The sequence below is a fragment of the Homo sapiens genome, chromosome 1 (genome assembly GCF_000001405.40).
Source record: "Homo sapiens chromosome 1, GRCh38.p14 Primary Assembly".
In the NCBI taxonomy this organism is placed as follows: Eukaryota; Metazoa; Chordata; class Mammalia; order Primates; family Hominidae; genus Homo; species Homo sapiens.
In genome coordinates, this window is record NC_000001.11 from 236025830 (window position 1) to 236043057 (window position 17228).

Consider the following 17228-nt stretch of genomic DNA (forward strand, 5'->3'; position numbering starts at 1 on the left):
ATGTCAAAGAGTGGGGTTTTAAAAATGCATGAGCACCTGTGCCCAGCATGAGCTGTATCCCCTTACCCCTCACAGGCCCAATGGAGTTGCTGAGAGCATAGCGCAAGATCTTCTCCTCCTGGTTGTACAGGACGAACACGCTGTCCACCGAGAGCTGCTGGGTGCTGGGCAGGGCTGGCCGGGAGTCATCGTGGACGCATTCCTGGAAGGTGATGGTCTGGCGCCACTGGTAAGTGTAGATGCGTGAAGGAGATGCCCCATCTCGCTCGGGCTCAGTCACCGTGTACTCCCGGGTGGAGGAGGAAGTGATCACTGCAGAGTGGGAAGGATGGAGGGGACAAGGCAGGGAGACAGAGGGAAGATGGTTAAGGATGCAAGAAGCTGAATCAACGGCTTTCAAGGCACCAGTGGTATTCCCTGCCCATAAGGCTACCAGATGACAGACCAGACAGAACAGCTTAAATAAGACCATTTGTTTGTATTGAGACTCATTCTATGAAATACCTGGATTCCCCATATGATCATTGGTATTATTCGTATTATGTGTATTTGTTGCTTTTCTCTCAAGTGGTTCTCTGTAAGTTTTGAAGACGCCCAGAACTAGAGATGAAGGTCAGGTTGAGAGGACACACACTTGGAAAGAGACGCCCCTGAATTCACACTCAGTACCACTCACAAGCTGTGTGGCCACTGGCTGATGACTCAACATCTTTGGTCTCAGTTTCTCACACAAAATAGGTCAAGGTGGGGATCAGACCAGGTAATGTATGTGCAATTTCTGGAATCAAGCAGACTAATAGTATTAGTAAGATAAACTACCATTTACTGAGCATTTACTCTGTCACAACGTGCTAACTGCTTTATATAGGTTATCTCAATTATGATTCAATAAATGGTGATTTCTTTTTCATTTTTTTTTTTTTTTTTGACACAGAGTCTCGCCTTGTCACCCAGGCTGGAGAGCAGTGGCACGATCATGGCTCACTGCAACCTCCGCCCCCTGGGTTCAAGCGATTCTCCCACCTCAGCCTCCCAAGTAGCTGGGACTACAGGCATGTGCTATCACGCTCAGCTCATTTTTTTGTATTTTTAGTAGAGACGGGGTTTCACCATGTTGGCCAGGCTGGTCTTGAACTCCTGACCTCAAGTGATCTGCCTGCCTCGGCCTCCCAAAGTGCTGGGATTACAGGTGTGAGGCACTACTTCTGGCCAATAAATGGTGATTTCTACATACCGGTCTAGACCAAGCCATCCTGCAATACCAAAAAAATGAGATATTAAATGAGTTTCAGTAGCCAGGTTTGGAAAAATTACTAAAGCACTGTGAGCAAGCCTGAACAGAGGAGAGGAGAGACAGTCCTCCCCACTCAGAAGAGGGCCTGCTATGGCCCATACGACAAAACCCTCAACTTCCTGTTTTTTTAAAAAAAAGCATAAAAGACTCTTTATATCTTTGTGCTCTGCTGCAGTTTGCTCCATAATAGAAGCATAAAAGCCAGAGGATAAATAAAAGATCAGTGTAAGCTGCCTCCTGTCCAGCTCCCACACGCCAGAAAGGCCATTCAGCTACAAGCCGGCCGCAACTGTGGTCCTGTTGCTCTTTCCTCCTCTTCTTCACTGTCTCCCAGCTCCCCAGGAGAACTCAACCAAGCCACAAAACTCCAGTAATTGCTTCAACCTTTCCGAACAGCAATTTAATAAGAGCCTTTAAAAAGGTGGCCAGGCACGATGGCTCACGCCTGTAATCACGGCACTTTGGGAGGCTGAAGCGGGAGGATCACTGGAGGTCAGGAGTTCGAGACCAGCCTGGGCAACATGGAGAAACCCTGTCTCTACTAAAAATACAAAAGTTAGCCATGCCTGGTGGTAGGCGCCTATAATCCCAGCTATTTCAGAGGTGGAGGCAGGAGAATCACTTGAACCTGGGAAGCAGACGTTGCAGTGAGCTGAGATCACACCACTGCACCACAGCCTTGGTGACAGAGCAAGACCCTGTCTCAAAACAACAACCAGAAAACAAAAACAAAAACAAAAAAAACGAAGGGATTCTTAACCTGGGGTTTAATGACCCACATATGAGTTCATGTTCATGAATATTATTCAGTGGGTCTCTACATGAGCAAGACACCATCTCAAAAATAAAATAAAATTAAATTAAAAAAATAAAAAATTCCTATTGTTTGACTCGGCACTTCTATTTCTAGGAATTGAGTCTTAGAAAAGAATCAGAAATTTGGCCAAGATTTATGATTAAGACAATCATTTCAACTCATAATAAGAGGAGAAAATGGAAGCAACCCAAGCTTTAGAAAGTAGAAGAATGGTTTGAATTAATAGCCATCCAGTAGAATCACACAGATTCCTTAAAAAGTGTTTTCAAAGACTGCTTAATGAGACTACTAAACATTCACGATTTGACATTAACTGAAAAGGTGAAGATATAACAATGTGGTATGATTGCAATTTTATTTAAATAAAAACTATAAGCATGGGTAACATGGCAAAACCCCATCTGTACAAAAATTTAAAAATTAGCCAGGCATGGTAGTGTGCCTGTAGTCCCAGGTACTCAGGAGGCTGAGGTGGGAGGCTCACTTGAGCCCAGGAGGTTGAGGCTGCAGTGAGCCGAGACTGCACCACTGCACTCCAGCTTGGGCGACAGAGTGAGGGCTCGTCTCAAAACAAACAACAACCAAAAAACTATACATATCACTGTGTATCCATGTTAAATTTCTCAATTTTGATAACTGTACTGTGGCCTTGTAAAAGAATGTCCTTGTTCTTAGGAAAAACAAATGAAGTGTTTAAAGAACGATCTATCATGATATATACAACTTATTCTCAAATGGTCAGTATACATATATATATATATATATATGGAGAGACAGAGAGACAGAGAGAGAATGGTAAAGTAAATGTGGCAAAATGTTAACAATTGGTGAAGCTAGATAAATAGTATGTGAACGTTTTTTGGGCTTTGTTCAGTTTTCACGTAAGTTTGATATTATTTAAAACCAGGCACCAAATGGAGAATAAATGTAGTTTTTAATAGTACATACAGATGTGGCCGGGCGCAGTTGCTCACACCTGTAATCCCAGCACTTAGGGAGGCTGAGCCAGGCAGATCACTTGAGGTCAGGAGTTCCAGATCACCCTGGCCTACATAATGAAAGCCCATCTCTACTAAAAATACAAAAATTAGCCAGGTGTGGTGGCATGTGCCTGTAGGCCCAGCTACTTGGGAAGCTGAGGCAGGAGGGTTGCTCAAGCCCAGGAGGCGGAGGTTGTAGTGAGCTGAGATCGCACCACTGCACTCCAGCCTGGGCAACAGGAGTGAAACCCTGTCTCAAAAAAAAAAAAAAGTACAAATAGATGTATAATAAAATTAGTTTATCATGAAATTATATGTTGGGATATTTCATATACATGTAAATAGATAGATGCTGGAGAAAAAGCTGAAAAGAAATACACTTAAATGTCATAATAATTATGTCCAGGTTTTACAACTCTAACTCATGCGTATTGTCTTTTTTGCACAAAATTCTCTACAAGGAGTAGTGCGTCCTATGTCTATAATTGAGGGGAAGGTGACTGTAAGGCCCGGTGTATTTCCCTCTCCAGATCCCAGAGACAGCCCCAGTTCACGGCTGCCGTGGTGGGTCAAGAGCACGAGGCTAGTGGCCGGTCTGGGGCTGGCCCTGGGACACAGCTGGGGCTCACCTGAGGTGGAGTAGTGGTACAGCTCCGTGTAGGGCTCAATGTGCACGGAGGAGCCGAACGGAATCTGCGGCACGCGGCCCTCCAGCTCCGTGTCGATGGTCAGGTGCCCATGCTCATCGATGCCGCTGAACCGCTGCTTAATGACCAGATTGCCCGGGTGCCCCACGAAGGTCACCTCAGCCTGGCGAGTGAACTCACCCCCTGAAAAACAAGATGAGACTGTCACTTTGCTGACTGGGGAGCGCGCCCTTCTGCCCGCCCCAGGCTCACAGTGTGGAGTGGGGTTGGTGCGAACGCTTCTGCAGGTGCTTTGGTTTGGCTGTAGAACATAGAACTGGTGACACTGAAGACAGAGCTCAGACATCCCTGTGGCCCAACTGAGCCACACGCAGAGGAGAGAAGAGGCTTCCTAGCCACAGCCCAGCATCTGTTGGGTTGGCTCAAGGGTTGTGCTGGAAATAGCGGAGGACAGGGGTTGGACTCCCAGCTGTGCTAGGCTCTGTCTGGGTGAACTTGAGTAAGCTACTTAACTCCTGTGAGCCTCCATTTCCCTGATGATTAAAAAAAGGATACAATCTATGTTCTGCAAATTGTCAAGTGCTCCATAATGCCAGTTACGGTGATGAATATTGAAATAGCTACGTCCTGGTTGGATGGGTGAGTTGCTCGTGGCAAACCATTCCCAGTACCAGAAACCATCCTAGGATCACCTGCTACCATGATGGCTTAGGAACTCCTCTTGGTCTGTGCAAGGCGGCAGCCCCAGACAGGCAGGAAAAATACTTCTCCCTTTTCCACAATGACCTGCCCCGTGACAGCAGGGGTTGACAAACTATGGCCTCAGGGCTAAATCTTGCCAGCTGCCTATTTTTCTACAACCCTTGAGCTCAGAAAGGTCTTTACATTTTTTAATGGTTAAAAAAAAATCAAAAGAACAGTATTTCATGGTATGTGAAAATTATATACAATTTAAATTTCAGTGCCCAGTCAAAAAGTTGTATTGGAACACAGCCATGCTCATTCATTTATATATTGTCTGTGGTTGCTTTTCACTCTGCAATGACAGAGTTGAGCCGTCGCAACAGAGACCATATGGCCTAAAATAATTAGGCATAGCTTTAAATATTTACTATCTGGCCCTTTGCCGAAAAAGTTTGACAACCTCAGCTTTATAGTTAAACAAGTCCCAGGCAAGTATCTCAAAGATAACACAGGACCAGGAGAAATTCAGAAGGATCATTGGAGTAAACAGATTTGCTGCTGTCAGGAATTTGCAAAGACTTCCTCTCCCTCAGCCCAGCTGAAGTCCATGTATATTACAAAATAGCACCAATATAAATTAACTCATATTAAAAAAACAAACTGTGAAAAGCTGTGCAGGGAAGGAGTGGGGTCTGTGAGTTTGACTGCAGCTCAATGATATTTGCAAAGAAAAGGGCATCTGGTTTGCATGAGAGCATCAATATTGTTATAACACTCAGAATATATATGCCTGTGGACTAGGAAGAAAAAACATTAGGCCAAAAAGTAGCAAATCTTTTGAGCAGGTTCAATCCTTTTCTTTTTTTCTTTTTTTCTTTTTTTTTTAATACAGAGTCTCACTCTGTTGCCCAGGCTGGAGTGCAATGGCACGATCTCGGCTCACTGCAACCTCCGCCTCCTGGGTTCACACCATTCTCCTGCCTCAGCCTCCCGAGTAGCTGGGACTGCAGGTGCCCGCCACCACACCTGGCTAATTTTTTGTATTTTTCATAGAGACAGGGTTTCACTGTGTTATCCAGGATGATCTCAATCTCCTGACCTTGTGATCCATGTGCCTCGGCCTCCCAAAGTGCTGGGATTACTGGCGTGAGCCACCATGCCCGGCCTCACTCCTTTTCTAATAGATAGCCTCTCCTTTCTTAAGACGGCCACACTTTATGTATTTATATGCCATAACTTTTGGAGGGGTTACCAGCGTGCAGCCTGGATGGAGACCCTGCTTCCAGCAGTGTTTCCTCTAATAAAGCCTTGGCTAAGGCTCCAGGTTGGCTCAGGCAGTGGGGGAGAAGGCAGGTCTAGGTCGTCGGAGGCAGTGGCTAGGTACCTGTGCCCCAGCACAACAAACTCCAGGTCCTGGAAGTGACCAGCGATGAAGGACACAGACTCCTCCAACCCAGCTGTTCTCGGGAATGGGTCTCCAGCATGCAAAGGTTGGGCTGGTCTTGGCAGGGCAAGGGGAAGGCCACCACAACACCAAGGAAACATCCCTCAAGCCATCTGCCCACGCGTCCAGTAAAGACTGAACCTTCCTCAATAGGGCACAGTCTCTAAAAAACTCCAAGGATATCTAGGCTTCCTAAGACTTCTGAGGATTATGTTTATGCAGCTTAAGTAACTAGCTAGAAATGGCAGGTTCCTTCTCTCTGAGCAAATCCTGAGGAAATATCAAAGATCAGTTTCAGGTTGGTTTGGAATTCAGAGGCAGGCTTGAGATCAGTTTCAGGTTGGTTTGGAATTCAGAGGCAGGCTTGATAGAATGAGGCAAACTGTGAAGTTGTGAGGTTCTACGAGCTGATATCACTTGTTCTGCCAGAAACGCCTAAATCTCCACCACGAAATTGCTCCTCAATCAAAACCCAATTCTAGGCAGTCTCAGTTGCTATATATTAATGATAATATTACATGTTCATTTTACCTCATCATCTTATTTCCAAGACAGAACTACAGGATGCCCTGTCTACAGACAAAAAGGAGCAACAACATGCTTCTAAGTTGTCTGCAGACTCAGAGTTCTCCTTCCATCCATCCCCAGGCCTCCCCCTAGGCACTACTGTGTGACCCACTAATTTTAATGTCGGATATAAATTACCGGTGATGCTGAACCCATTCTTGAATCCGTCCTGCTCCACTGCAAACATCCATCCAATGATGCCTCCAACTGGGGCCAGTGGAAGCAGAGAATATCCAACGGTCTCGGGAATGGTGCTGATGGCTGTGTAGGAGCGCCCGTGGTTCATTACTACGTAAGAGTGGAGGTCAGTGTTCTCAAAGACAATGGGGACCTGGCTGCTCCCCACAAAGATCCTTCCTTTCACCTTGCCATTGACTCGCTGGGGGGAACCTGAGCAAGAAAACAAAGAAAGAATATAGAGATCACTTCCAAGCCAGTCTTTCAAACACGAGTAATATGTAGGACCTGTACCTATTGGTGAAGAAAGCAAAGAAACAAAACAGCACTGGGGTCAATGGCTTTGGGTAAGCAAAAGCAGCTGTTCTTCCTGAGACTACCCACAACTGTATGCTGCGGGCCTTCAAAATTCCAATGCCCCTGCCTCTCTTCCTGTGACTGAAAATGGATAGCACGAAAGCTGTCTCCACGGACAGCCATTGAGGAACTGCAGGAGTTAAAAACAGAATTTCAGAAGAAGAAGAATATCAGGGGTGACCTAGAACTAAGGCGACCATAGAATTTATCACATTTGAGAGTAAAAGGAGGATGGGCATGGTGGCTCATGCCTGTAATCCCAGCACTTTGGGAGGCCGAGGCAGGCAGATCACCTGAGGTCAGGAGTTCAAGACCAGCCTGGCCAATACGGCGAAACCCTGTCTCTACTAAAAATAAAAAAATTAGCTGGGCATGATGGCGGGTGCCTGTAGTCCCAGCTACTCAGGAGGCTGAGGTGGGATAATCGCTTGAACCCGGGAGGCTAAGGTTGCAGTGAGCCAAGATCATGCCACCGCACTCCAGCCTGGGTGACAGAGCGAGACTGTCTCAAAAAAAGAGAGAGAGAGAGTAAAAGGAGTGTGGAATTGCTCATTTCATTGGGACAGCAAGGCTAACCTGAATGGCCCTGGGAGTATAGACATTTGCCTGCCTGATCTATAACACACTTTAATAAACACTGTGAGCTCATATACAGTCCCACCACCCAGCGTTAGCACTGCCAGTCTGAGTCTTGGAGCCTCAGCCAGCACAAGCCACACAGACAAGTACAGAGTCACCGCCCAGGCTACACAGTCATGCCCTCTGAACCAGAACCAGCTTGGCGTGTCTGGTGCTGCTTGTTCCATTTAGACAACTGGGAACGATGGAATTGAGACCTACTATGACAAATTTAAAAGCCTCCTTAATACCTTGATAATAAATTGATCTGGGATACCATTTTTGCTTAAAAAATTACATTCATGATAAATGTTGGCATATACCTGGGGGAAAACTGCTAACAATGGTTAACTCAGGGCAAACGTGGTGAATTCATTTCCTATACTATAAATTTTTATAATTTTTGAGTATTTATAACTTGCATATATTTATTATTGTTTAAACAGGAAAAAAATAAGAACTAAAGAAATTAAATTGCTGTTTGTTGTATTCAAATAAGAACATTGAAGGTTACTGTATGGCCCAGCAATTCTAATTCCTAGGTATACAGCCAAGAGAAAGGAGCACATGTGTCCACACAAAAACGTGAACACAAATGTTCTTAGCAGCATTACTCACCAGAGCCAAAAGGAAAACAACCCAAATGTCCATTAACTGATGAATGGATAAACAAAATACGGTACCTCCATTCATTAAGATATTATTTAACTAGAAAAAGGCATGAGGCTGGGCCTGGTGGCTCATATCTGTAATCCCAGCACTTTGGGAGGCCAAGGCAGGTGGATCATCTGAGATCAGGAGTTCGAGACCAGCCTGGGCAACATGGTGAAACCCCGTCTCTACTAAAAATACAAAAAATTAGCTAGGCATGGTGGCGGTCACCTATAATCCTAGCTACTCAGGAGGCTGAAGCAGGAGAATCGCTTGAACACAGGAGGCAGAGGTTGCAGTGAGCTGAGATTGCACCATTGCACTCCAGCCTGGGCAATAAGAGCGAAACTCCATCTCAAAAAAAAAAAAAAAAGAAAGAAAGAAAAAGAAAAAGGCATGAAATACTGATATGGGCTAAAACAGGCCATGAACCTTGAAATCATCATCATGCTAAGGGAAAGAAGTCAGACACAAAAGGTCATGTATTGTACGATTCTATGTGCATGAAACGTCTGGAATAGGAACACCTATAAAGACAGAAAGTAGGTGAGGGCTTGACAGCGGCTGGGGGCATTTTGAGAAATCAAGAGTGACTACTAATGGACACGGTGTTTCTTTTGGGGGTGATGAAAATGTTCTAGAATTAGATAGAGGTAATAGTTGGACAACTTTGTGAATATATTAAAACCCACCAAATTGTATACTTTAAAAAGGTATGTGAATTATATCTCAGGAAAACAAAAACTGAAGGAAGAGGGAAAACAAAGGTTACATTGCATTGTTTATATTTGATGTGGTATTACTTTCAGTTATTGATTGTACATATCTTATTTCTGTTCCTAGATTATGATCATCACAGGGTCAGGACTTTCACACCCAGCCCCTCACAGGTTCTCGGCAGAGTTTTCTTTTTTTTTTCTTTCTTTCTTTCTTTTTTTTTATTATACTTTAAGTTTTAGGGTACATGTGCACATTGTGCAGGTTAGTTACATATGTATACATGTGTCATGCTGGTGCGCTGCACCCACTAACTCGTCATCTAGCATTAGGTATATCTCCCAGTGCTATCCCTCCCCCCTCCCCCCACCCCACCACAGTCCCCAGAGTGTGATATTCCCCTTCCTGTGTCCATGTGATCTCATTGTTCAATTCCCACCTATGAGTGAGAATATGCGGTGTTTGGTTTTTTGTTCTTGCGATAGTTTACTGAGAATGATGATTTCCAATTTCATCCATGTCCCTACAAAGGACATGAACTCATCATTTTTTATGGCTGCATAGTATTCCATGGTGTATATGTGCCACATTTTCTTAATCCAGTCTATCATTGTTGGACATTTGGGTTGGTTCCAAGTCTTTGCTATTGTGAATAATGCCGCAATAAACATACGTGTGCATGTGTCTTTATAGCAGCATGATTTATAGTCCTTTGGGTATATACCCAGTAATGGGATGGCTGGGTCAAATGGTATTTCTAGTTCTAGATCCCTGAGGAATCGCCACACTGACTTCCACAATGGTTGAACTAGTTTACAGTCCCACCAACAGTGTAAAAGTGTTCCTATTTCTCCACATCCTCTCTCAGTGAATGTTGTTGAATAGCCCTAGGCAGGGGCTGCCATCCGGGGATCAGCTGCGTTCTGATGACTTTTCGTTGGGTTCCATACGCCCAAACGGCTCAACAGGTTCTCTGATCAGCCAGGACATATCCAACAGAGTCATTCTGCACACACGTTGCATCATTACTCCGGGGAACACTGTGAAGTTAGCTGGCCAACAGCGCAAAAAGGTATCCCAAGAACAATCAGGAAAACAAGCAAGAAGGCCAAGTTAAGAAACCAAACAAAAAATTTTCCACCAAACTTTGAGCTAGAAACATTTTTTTTTTAAGTAGCAAGAATCCAACAAATATTTAAACCACAAATCTATTCCAGGGTGTGTATATAATGTCAAAATATGTGGCTGAACAGTTTGTCATATCTGAGCTGGCTGCCAAACACAAACTGTTCAGCATTTCAAGCTCTGATATTTGGGGTAGAAAAGGCTAAGAGGTTGCTCTTTAAGAATAAGCTTTTATTGTGGATTTTGGAAGCTTCTCCTGGGATGGAGAAGATACAAAAGCCAAGCCTGAAACAAAGAAGCAAAGACACACCACCCCTGGGGTGATGGGATTTAAAAGAAAATCAAAAACAGTTTAGAAGTTAATAACATCCCCTAAAATTAATAAGTAAAGCATACTCAATTGTCTTCCATTGCTGAAGGTAGTATTTTTTAAAACCTCACTTTATCTAATGGGGACACAGAAGGAAATGATTTTTTGTTTTTAGCAACTTGAAATGATAACGAATTTAATTATAACTATGGCAGGTAGGGGTTCTGAAAAGCAGAAACCATTCCTCCAGTTGACTTTTATTTAGTCAATTTTTGCAAAGCAATTGAAGTTCCACATTAAACACACAAGGAAAATGACCCACGACAAGTGAGACAATTTGTTGGCATCTGCTATGGCTTGAATGTCCCCTCCAAAACTCATATTGAAACTTAATCCCCAATGTGATAGCATTTAGAAATGGGGCCTTTCTGAGCTGATTGGGTCATGAGGGCTCTGCCCTGAAGAATGAATTAATGCAGTCATGGATTAATGGATGAATGTGTTATCACGGGAATGGGACTGATGGCTTTACAGGAAGAGGAAGAGAGACCCGACCCAGGATGCTCAGCCTCCTGTACCACCTCTGCAGAGAGCCCCCACCAGAAACAAGGCCATCACCAAATGTGGCCCCCTGATCTTGGACTTCTCAGCCTCCATCACTGTAAGAAATAAATTTTTTTTCTTTATAAATTACTCAGTTTCAGGTATTCTGCTAGAAGCATCAGAAAAGTGACTAAGACCGCATCTGAAGGGAGGAACGTTTAACATGGTGGGGTTTTGCCATTTTTGTGTTAATTCTGGAATTAAGACAAATTCCAGCCTCCCAGATGGTGCACCGAGTGAACATTACCAGGACCCCCAGATTTGCACAGAAAGGATTCTCCTGACCATCTGCAAGCATCCAAACCAGTTGATCCTTTTGAGGGCAGAGTTTAGAATGGACATTGGCCCATAGCCGAATCCATTTGGAATTGGCACCCCAGCATTAACCATGGTGCATCTCTGATGCTCAACTGTAACCACGCTATGACTTCAGGAGCACCAGGAAAGAGAGACAGGAGGGAGAGGATGATGGGATAAACTTTACTTGCCACAGACTTTGGTCTAAGCCAGCCTTCTGTGGCCCTGCTGGGACTTAGCAACCATTAAGATAGGTCTGGCTGGGCGCGCTGGCTCACACCTGTAATCCCAACATTTCGGGAGGCCGAGGCAGGCAGATTATTTGAGGTCAGGAGTTTGAGACCAGTCTGGCCAACATGGAGAAACCCCATCTCTATGAAAAATACAAAAATTAGCTGGGTTTGGTGGCGCACATCTGTAATTCCAGCTACTCAGGAGGCTGAGGCAGGAGAATCACTTGAACCTGGGAGATGAAAGCTGCAGTGAGCCAAGGTCACACCACTGCACTCTAGCCTGGGTGACAGAGTAAGACTCTGTCTCAAGAAAAAAAAAAACATAGGTCTGTGAGCAACACAACATAAAATTAGAGAGACTCTAAGAAAAAAATACATGAAAGAGATTTCAAAGAAGTGAAGGAAAGTGAGGGACATAAACAATTCTTTGTCCAGGCTGCATAATTTTAACACTACGGCCTTTGTGGCCACACACCACGCAGTTGTGAAGATGGGCTCCCAGTGACTGTCCCCTGAGATGGAGAAATAGCACAGGAAAGGAAGACTTTGCCATATTTGAAAAATGGGCCTTCCTGGGGGATGCCTGTAGAGAATACGAGAAAAAATGAGGAAAGAGAGACCATGTATGGCTGCCATAAGAAAAACTCTACACACCTACGGAGATGTGGGTAAAGCAACATGGAAAACGAGCACCAAAACAAAAACTCCGCTCCTCCTTCTCCCGCATGAAACGAACATAGAAAAGCAAATTACCTTCTGCAACACATTGCCTGCCATTGCCCGTATAGCCAGCGACACAGCTGCAGCAGAAGCCCGTGGCGTAGTCCCTGCACTCTGCGTGCACCGAGCACTGGTGTCTGTTGTTAGCACACGTCTGGCGGGAATCCGTGTTATAGCTGAAAACTGGTCCAAGAAAACAATTGCACACCTGTAAGCATTTCATGCAGCTCTAGCCCGGTGGGCTCTCTCATCTAGGCACCCTCAAGCACTGCAGGGACTCACACCTGCATGGGCAATTCAAGGGACCAGGCTCACTACAGAAGATTACAATCCCCTACAGGTAGCCACTTAAATAGTTACGTGAGCCTGGGCAACATGGTGAAACTCACATCACTGAGGCAAACAGGTCTAAAAGGAGTTGAGAAATCACAAGGTGATTATTAATTATTGAAAACTGCTAGAATCTAGTGTACTTGGCATCAATGTTAGATTAGTGCTATCCAATAGCAATCTCAGGATGGTGTCCATCCAAACTAGTGAGAACAATGAGCTTCATGTTTGGGGGGACTCTTAAAATATATATTAAAACATATATAATATATATTACCTATGTTATATAGGTCATATATAATATATATTACCTATGTTATATAGGTCATATATAATATATATTACCTATGTTATATAGGTCATATATAATATATATTACCTATGCTATATAGGTCATATATAATATATATTACCTATGTTATATAGGTCATATATAATAAATATTACCTATGTTATATAGGTCATATATAATATATATTACCTATGTTATATAGGTCATATATAACATAAATATATTACATATATGTAATATATATTAAATATAAATATATAACATATATGTGTAACTATATATGTAAATATGTACATATACATATATGTAAATATATAATATATATTTACATTATATTATATAATATATATTTACATTATATATTTATATATACATTATATATATTTACATTATAAATATTTATATAATATATATTTACATTATATTACATTATATAAAATACAATATATTACATTATAATACATTATAACAGATAAAATATATTTATATGTTATATAATAATATATAATACAGTATATACTACATATAATTATATGATATAATTTTTTTAATTTTTTATTGTGGTAAAATATATATAACATAAAATTTGCCATTTTAACAACCTTAAAATATGTACATATATTTTATCCTCCTTCCTCTGCCTCCCAAGTAGCTGGGACTGCAGGCGGGTGCCATTGTGCCTGGCTTATATTCTTTTTAATTTTAAATCACCTCCCACCCCACCCCAACATACACTTTTCCCTGAGGAATAATTTGGAAGCACTTATACTCAAAAGCTGAACAAAAATAATGCCCTAGTCACACCTGGGCTAAAAAGCCTTTGACCCAAGAAAGAAAAAGAACATCTCCCTATTTTAAATTTCCACATTCCAACTTTGTTTTATTAGAATCATGAACTAGCTCATTATATTTAATAATCCCGAGCAAATTAATTTGGAATGAAATTCAAAAGCACAAGAGGGGTAAACTTTCAGAGAAGATAATGATCCCATTCATAATTGACTGTTACGAGTGAAGAGAAAAGCAAAGTTTAAACCCAGGTAGACTCTATGAGTCCTACATACTCGGAAGGGAATTTCTGGCTTTATAAAGACAGCGTTTGGAGCCGAGCACACTTGAGCCCTGAACTGAACACGTGATGCCGCTGATTACTTAAACTCCAGCTGTGGGCAGAGCTCTCAGGGGTCATTATGGCCTGTGTACATGTGAACTATTCAAATAACACCAGGAATGCACTACTGGCCACAGAAGACTGACCTTTCTCTTCAACATAGGGAAATAACTGGGGTAGAGGGACAGGAAAACATCTGTTTTAGACACAATCTGCGTTCAAATCTAGGCTTTTTTCAGTCTTAAGTAATACACTGCCCCAAGTTGTTGGGCTGGATATGGTCTCATTCAAATGTGATGGCTTCACAAATGAGAATTTCAGAGACACCTAGAAAGGGTGGAGACAGGATGGAACTCAAAACCCAACATATGCAAGGAAACACACCCAACACATCTGGGGGAGATGACTCCAAAACCCACGGCAGAGTGGCATGTGCTGAGCAATGTAAGCATCACCCCAGGAACCCAGGGTGCAGTAGGAGAACCTAAGACATGAGCCCCTGTCCTTGTCCTGCCACCAAATGGCAGCTTCTCCATTTCCGTGCCTCAGAAGTAAGTCAGCACGCCAGCCAGTAAGCACCCCATCTCGTCCACAGTTTGGGATACTCGTGAGAACAAGCGTGTATGGCTACTGCTGTGAGATAAATCAGAACAAGTAAGGGCAAATAAAAATGAGTGAACAGTGTGGAATGGGCCAGACTTCTCTAAGAGTTTTATGATCATTCCTTAGTAGAAAAGCAGCAGACAGCTGCAATAAGCTTATCTAAAGGCTTGGACTATCCCATTTATATGAGTCTTAGTGGATTCCGTATCAAACTAATGTGAAAAAAAAATAATGAGGACAGTTTAGTTGGAACATCTTTTTTTTTTTTTTTCTTGAGACAGAGTCTTGCTCTTGCCAACCAGGCTGGAGGGCAATGGAGCGATCTCGGCTCACTGCAACCTCCACCTCTCAGGTTCGAGCGATTCTCTGGCCTCAGCCTCCAGATTGGCTGGGATTACAGATGCCTGCCACCACGCCTGGCTAATGTTTTGCATTTTTAGTAGAGGCAGGATTTCACCATGTTGTCCAGGCTGGTCTCCAACTCCTGACCTCAGGTGATGCACCCGCCTTGGCCTCCCAAAGTGCTGGGATAACAGGCATGAGCCACTGTGCCTGGCTAGAACATCTTTTATAAGAAAAATGAAAGCATCCAGGAGTTCTATTTTCCCTCAAAATGTAGCAAAAATCTGATATAACATAGTTGACCAGAAAATGTACTGTAAAACTTTTTTTTTCTTTTCGAGGCAGAGACTCACTCTGTTGCCAGGCTGGAGTGCAGTGGCATGATCTCGGCTCACTGCAACCTCTGCCTCCCAGGTTCAAGCAATCCTCCTGCCTCAGCCTCCCAAGTAGCTAGGACTACAGGCGTGTGTCACCACGCCCAGCTAATTTTTGTATTTTTAGTAGAGATGGGGTTTCACCATGTTGGCCAGGATGGTCTCAATCTCTTGAGCTTGTGATCCACCTGCCTCGGCCTCCCAAAGTGCTGGGATTACAGGTGTGAGCCACCACCCCCGACCCTATTTTTTTTTAAAGAGTATCTACTTTGATATATATATATTTTTTAATCTTCACAAACCAACTCTGAAACTGACGGGACCTGGGAAGAAAAATAATCAACAATTCTAATTCCAAAACCAAGAGGAAATAAATGTCAAAGATAAGCTTCATAGACAGCCAAAAGAACTTCTAAAATGTTTTTTCAGGTGGATGAATACATTTCTGATCTGAGAAATCACAAGAAAATCTGACTTTCAAAACAATTCTAACGGACGTTTTCTCTTTAAAACAGACAGAACGGAATACTAGGAAACTTGAAAGAAGACACACTCAACAGTCTCCAAAACCATGGTCCTAATCCCAAAAGATCACTGAGCATCTCTGAAGCCACTGGGCATATAACACCAAGGCTCCACGGCTGTGAGAGTTCAGCCTCTACTTTCCCAAGCTCTTATCTTTACAAACCACCATGTAATGCTCACAACTGACATCTCCCCAGCAGTACGCCTGTCTGGAAGCCCACACATCCAAGATCGTTACCAACTGCAACTTAAATGGTCTTACCAACTCCTGTTTCCTCAACTTCATCCACATCTATGACCTGAGGGTGCTGCTGGTGAAAAGTCTCCACTGCCAACTGGAAAGACCTGGTTCTCTCTGTGGGAGGTCCAAGGGGCCTTTCGGTAGCTGCCCGGCGCGGGGAGAGGACGCTGGGCACACTGTATGTGTCAGCACCTCCCCTTCTCAGAGCCTTGTAGGAGAAGGGCGTGGTGCCCACATCCTCCAGGCCCAGACGAGTGGTCGCCAGGTCATAATCTTCATCCTCATCATCATACTCTGCCCCATCTTCAGTTCCGAGGATCACGTCTGCAGGCACCACGCCATTGGTGGTGGCTGGACTCCCAATCTCAAACACCCAGACACCCTGCTGCCCAGAGTTACTACTCCTAGGAGGAAGGACAGGCTTCTTAGAAACAGGCCAGCAACCCACCAACAGCCACCACTACCCAAGCAGAGGGAGCCCTGAGGATCTGTGTTGGTCTGCAAGCCATCACCTGCAGCTAGGACTGGAGAGTGGAAGGGCACTGGCCGTCATGTCTGGGCGTCATGTGGCTGAGGCAGTCTAGGGCTGTCTGGTGAGACTGTGTCCAAATGGGCACAATACTAGCACAAGCTCAGTCCCAGCCATTCCAGAAGTGTGCTCCAGGGACACTATCAGGACTTAAAATTCAACTTGCTCATCCTAATTGCTGGTTACATGCTCTACCTTATGAGCTAAGGTGGCTCATAGGACTGACAGTGGCTTTAGGACTGAAGTCATTCATGCTCTCCACTATCTCTTTCCATGACATGGTATGATACAATTGAAAATACATGTTTGGTCTCTGTCCTCACATTCTGAAACAAGAGCTCCTACAGCCTTTGGAATTTCTGAAGTGATAAGAGTGTCTTTTGTAGGCTAATGAGTTGACTGATGGCTGGGAGCTCCTAGACAGTTTCAGGATGGGGGCTGGTGGCCAGAAAGACCAAGGCATGATTAGAAGGTTGGAATGTCCAGCTTTCCCCACTGCCTCCAGGGAGGGGAGATGGGCTGGAGATTGAGTCAATCACCAAGGATCAGTGATTTAATCAACTGTGCCTATGAAATAACACCACCATAAAAACCCTAAAATGATGGGGTTCAGAGAGCTTCTGGGTTGAACACATCAAGG

At 43.7% G+C, this 17228-nt stretch overlaps 1 protein-coding gene across 1 annotated transcript in view, besides 6 other annotated features; it reads right to left on the reverse strand.

The window, feature by feature from the left end:
• The window catches only part of NID1 (nidogen 1), an 89261-nt gene that overhangs the window by 50000 nt on the left and 22033 nt on the right, over positions 1 to 17228 (reverse strand). Inside the window, exons 4-8 of the mRNA NM_002508.3 lie at positions 16081 to 16463; positions 12275 to 12424; positions 6572 to 6823; positions 3721 to 3921; positions 67 to 312 (exon numbers count right to left, since the gene is read on the reverse strand). Coding sequence (NP_002499.2) covers positions 67 to 312; positions 3721 to 3921; positions 6572 to 6823; positions 12275 to 12424; positions 16081 to 16463 — 1232 coding nt within the window. The remainder of the gene's footprint in view (positions 1 to 66; positions 313 to 3720; positions 3922 to 6571; positions 6824 to 12274; positions 12425 to 16080; positions 16464 to 17228) is intronic.
• Positions 10229 to 14315: a meiotic recombination region, noted in NCBI's record as "this region was identified as a recombination hotspot within the HapMap YRI population". NCBI's record gives the evidence for it as "EXISTENCE:nucleotide sequencing assay evidence [ECO:0000219][PMID:20981099]".
• Positions 10229 to 14508: a biological region, named in NCBI's record as "meiotic recombination hotspot NID1".
• Positions 11918 to 11933: a nucleotide motif, noted in NCBI's record as "nucleotide motif; similarity to the predicted 16-mer PRDM9 C-type binding motif, CCNCNNTNNNCNTNNC".
• Positions 12480 to 14152: a meiotic recombination region, noted in NCBI's record as "this region was identified as a recombination hotspot within the HapMap CEU population". NCBI's record gives the evidence for it as "EXISTENCE:nucleotide sequencing assay evidence [ECO:0000219][PMID:20981099]".
• Positions 12508 to 14508: a meiotic recombination region, noted in NCBI's record as "crossovers mapped in sperm cells of males of European ancestry". NCBI's record gives the evidence for it as "EXISTENCE:DNA detection assay evidence [ECO:0005519][PMID:16543360, PMID:15987698, PMID:15880103]".
• Positions 12624 to 14269: a meiotic recombination region, noted in NCBI's record as "meiotic double-strand break mapped by DNA meiotic recombinase 1 chromatin immunoprecipitation followed by single-stranded DNA enrichment and sequencing in the germ cells of some male individuals with the PRDM9 A/A genotype". NCBI's record gives the evidence for it as "EXISTENCE:chromatin immunoprecipitation-seq evidence [ECO:0000229][PMID:25395542]".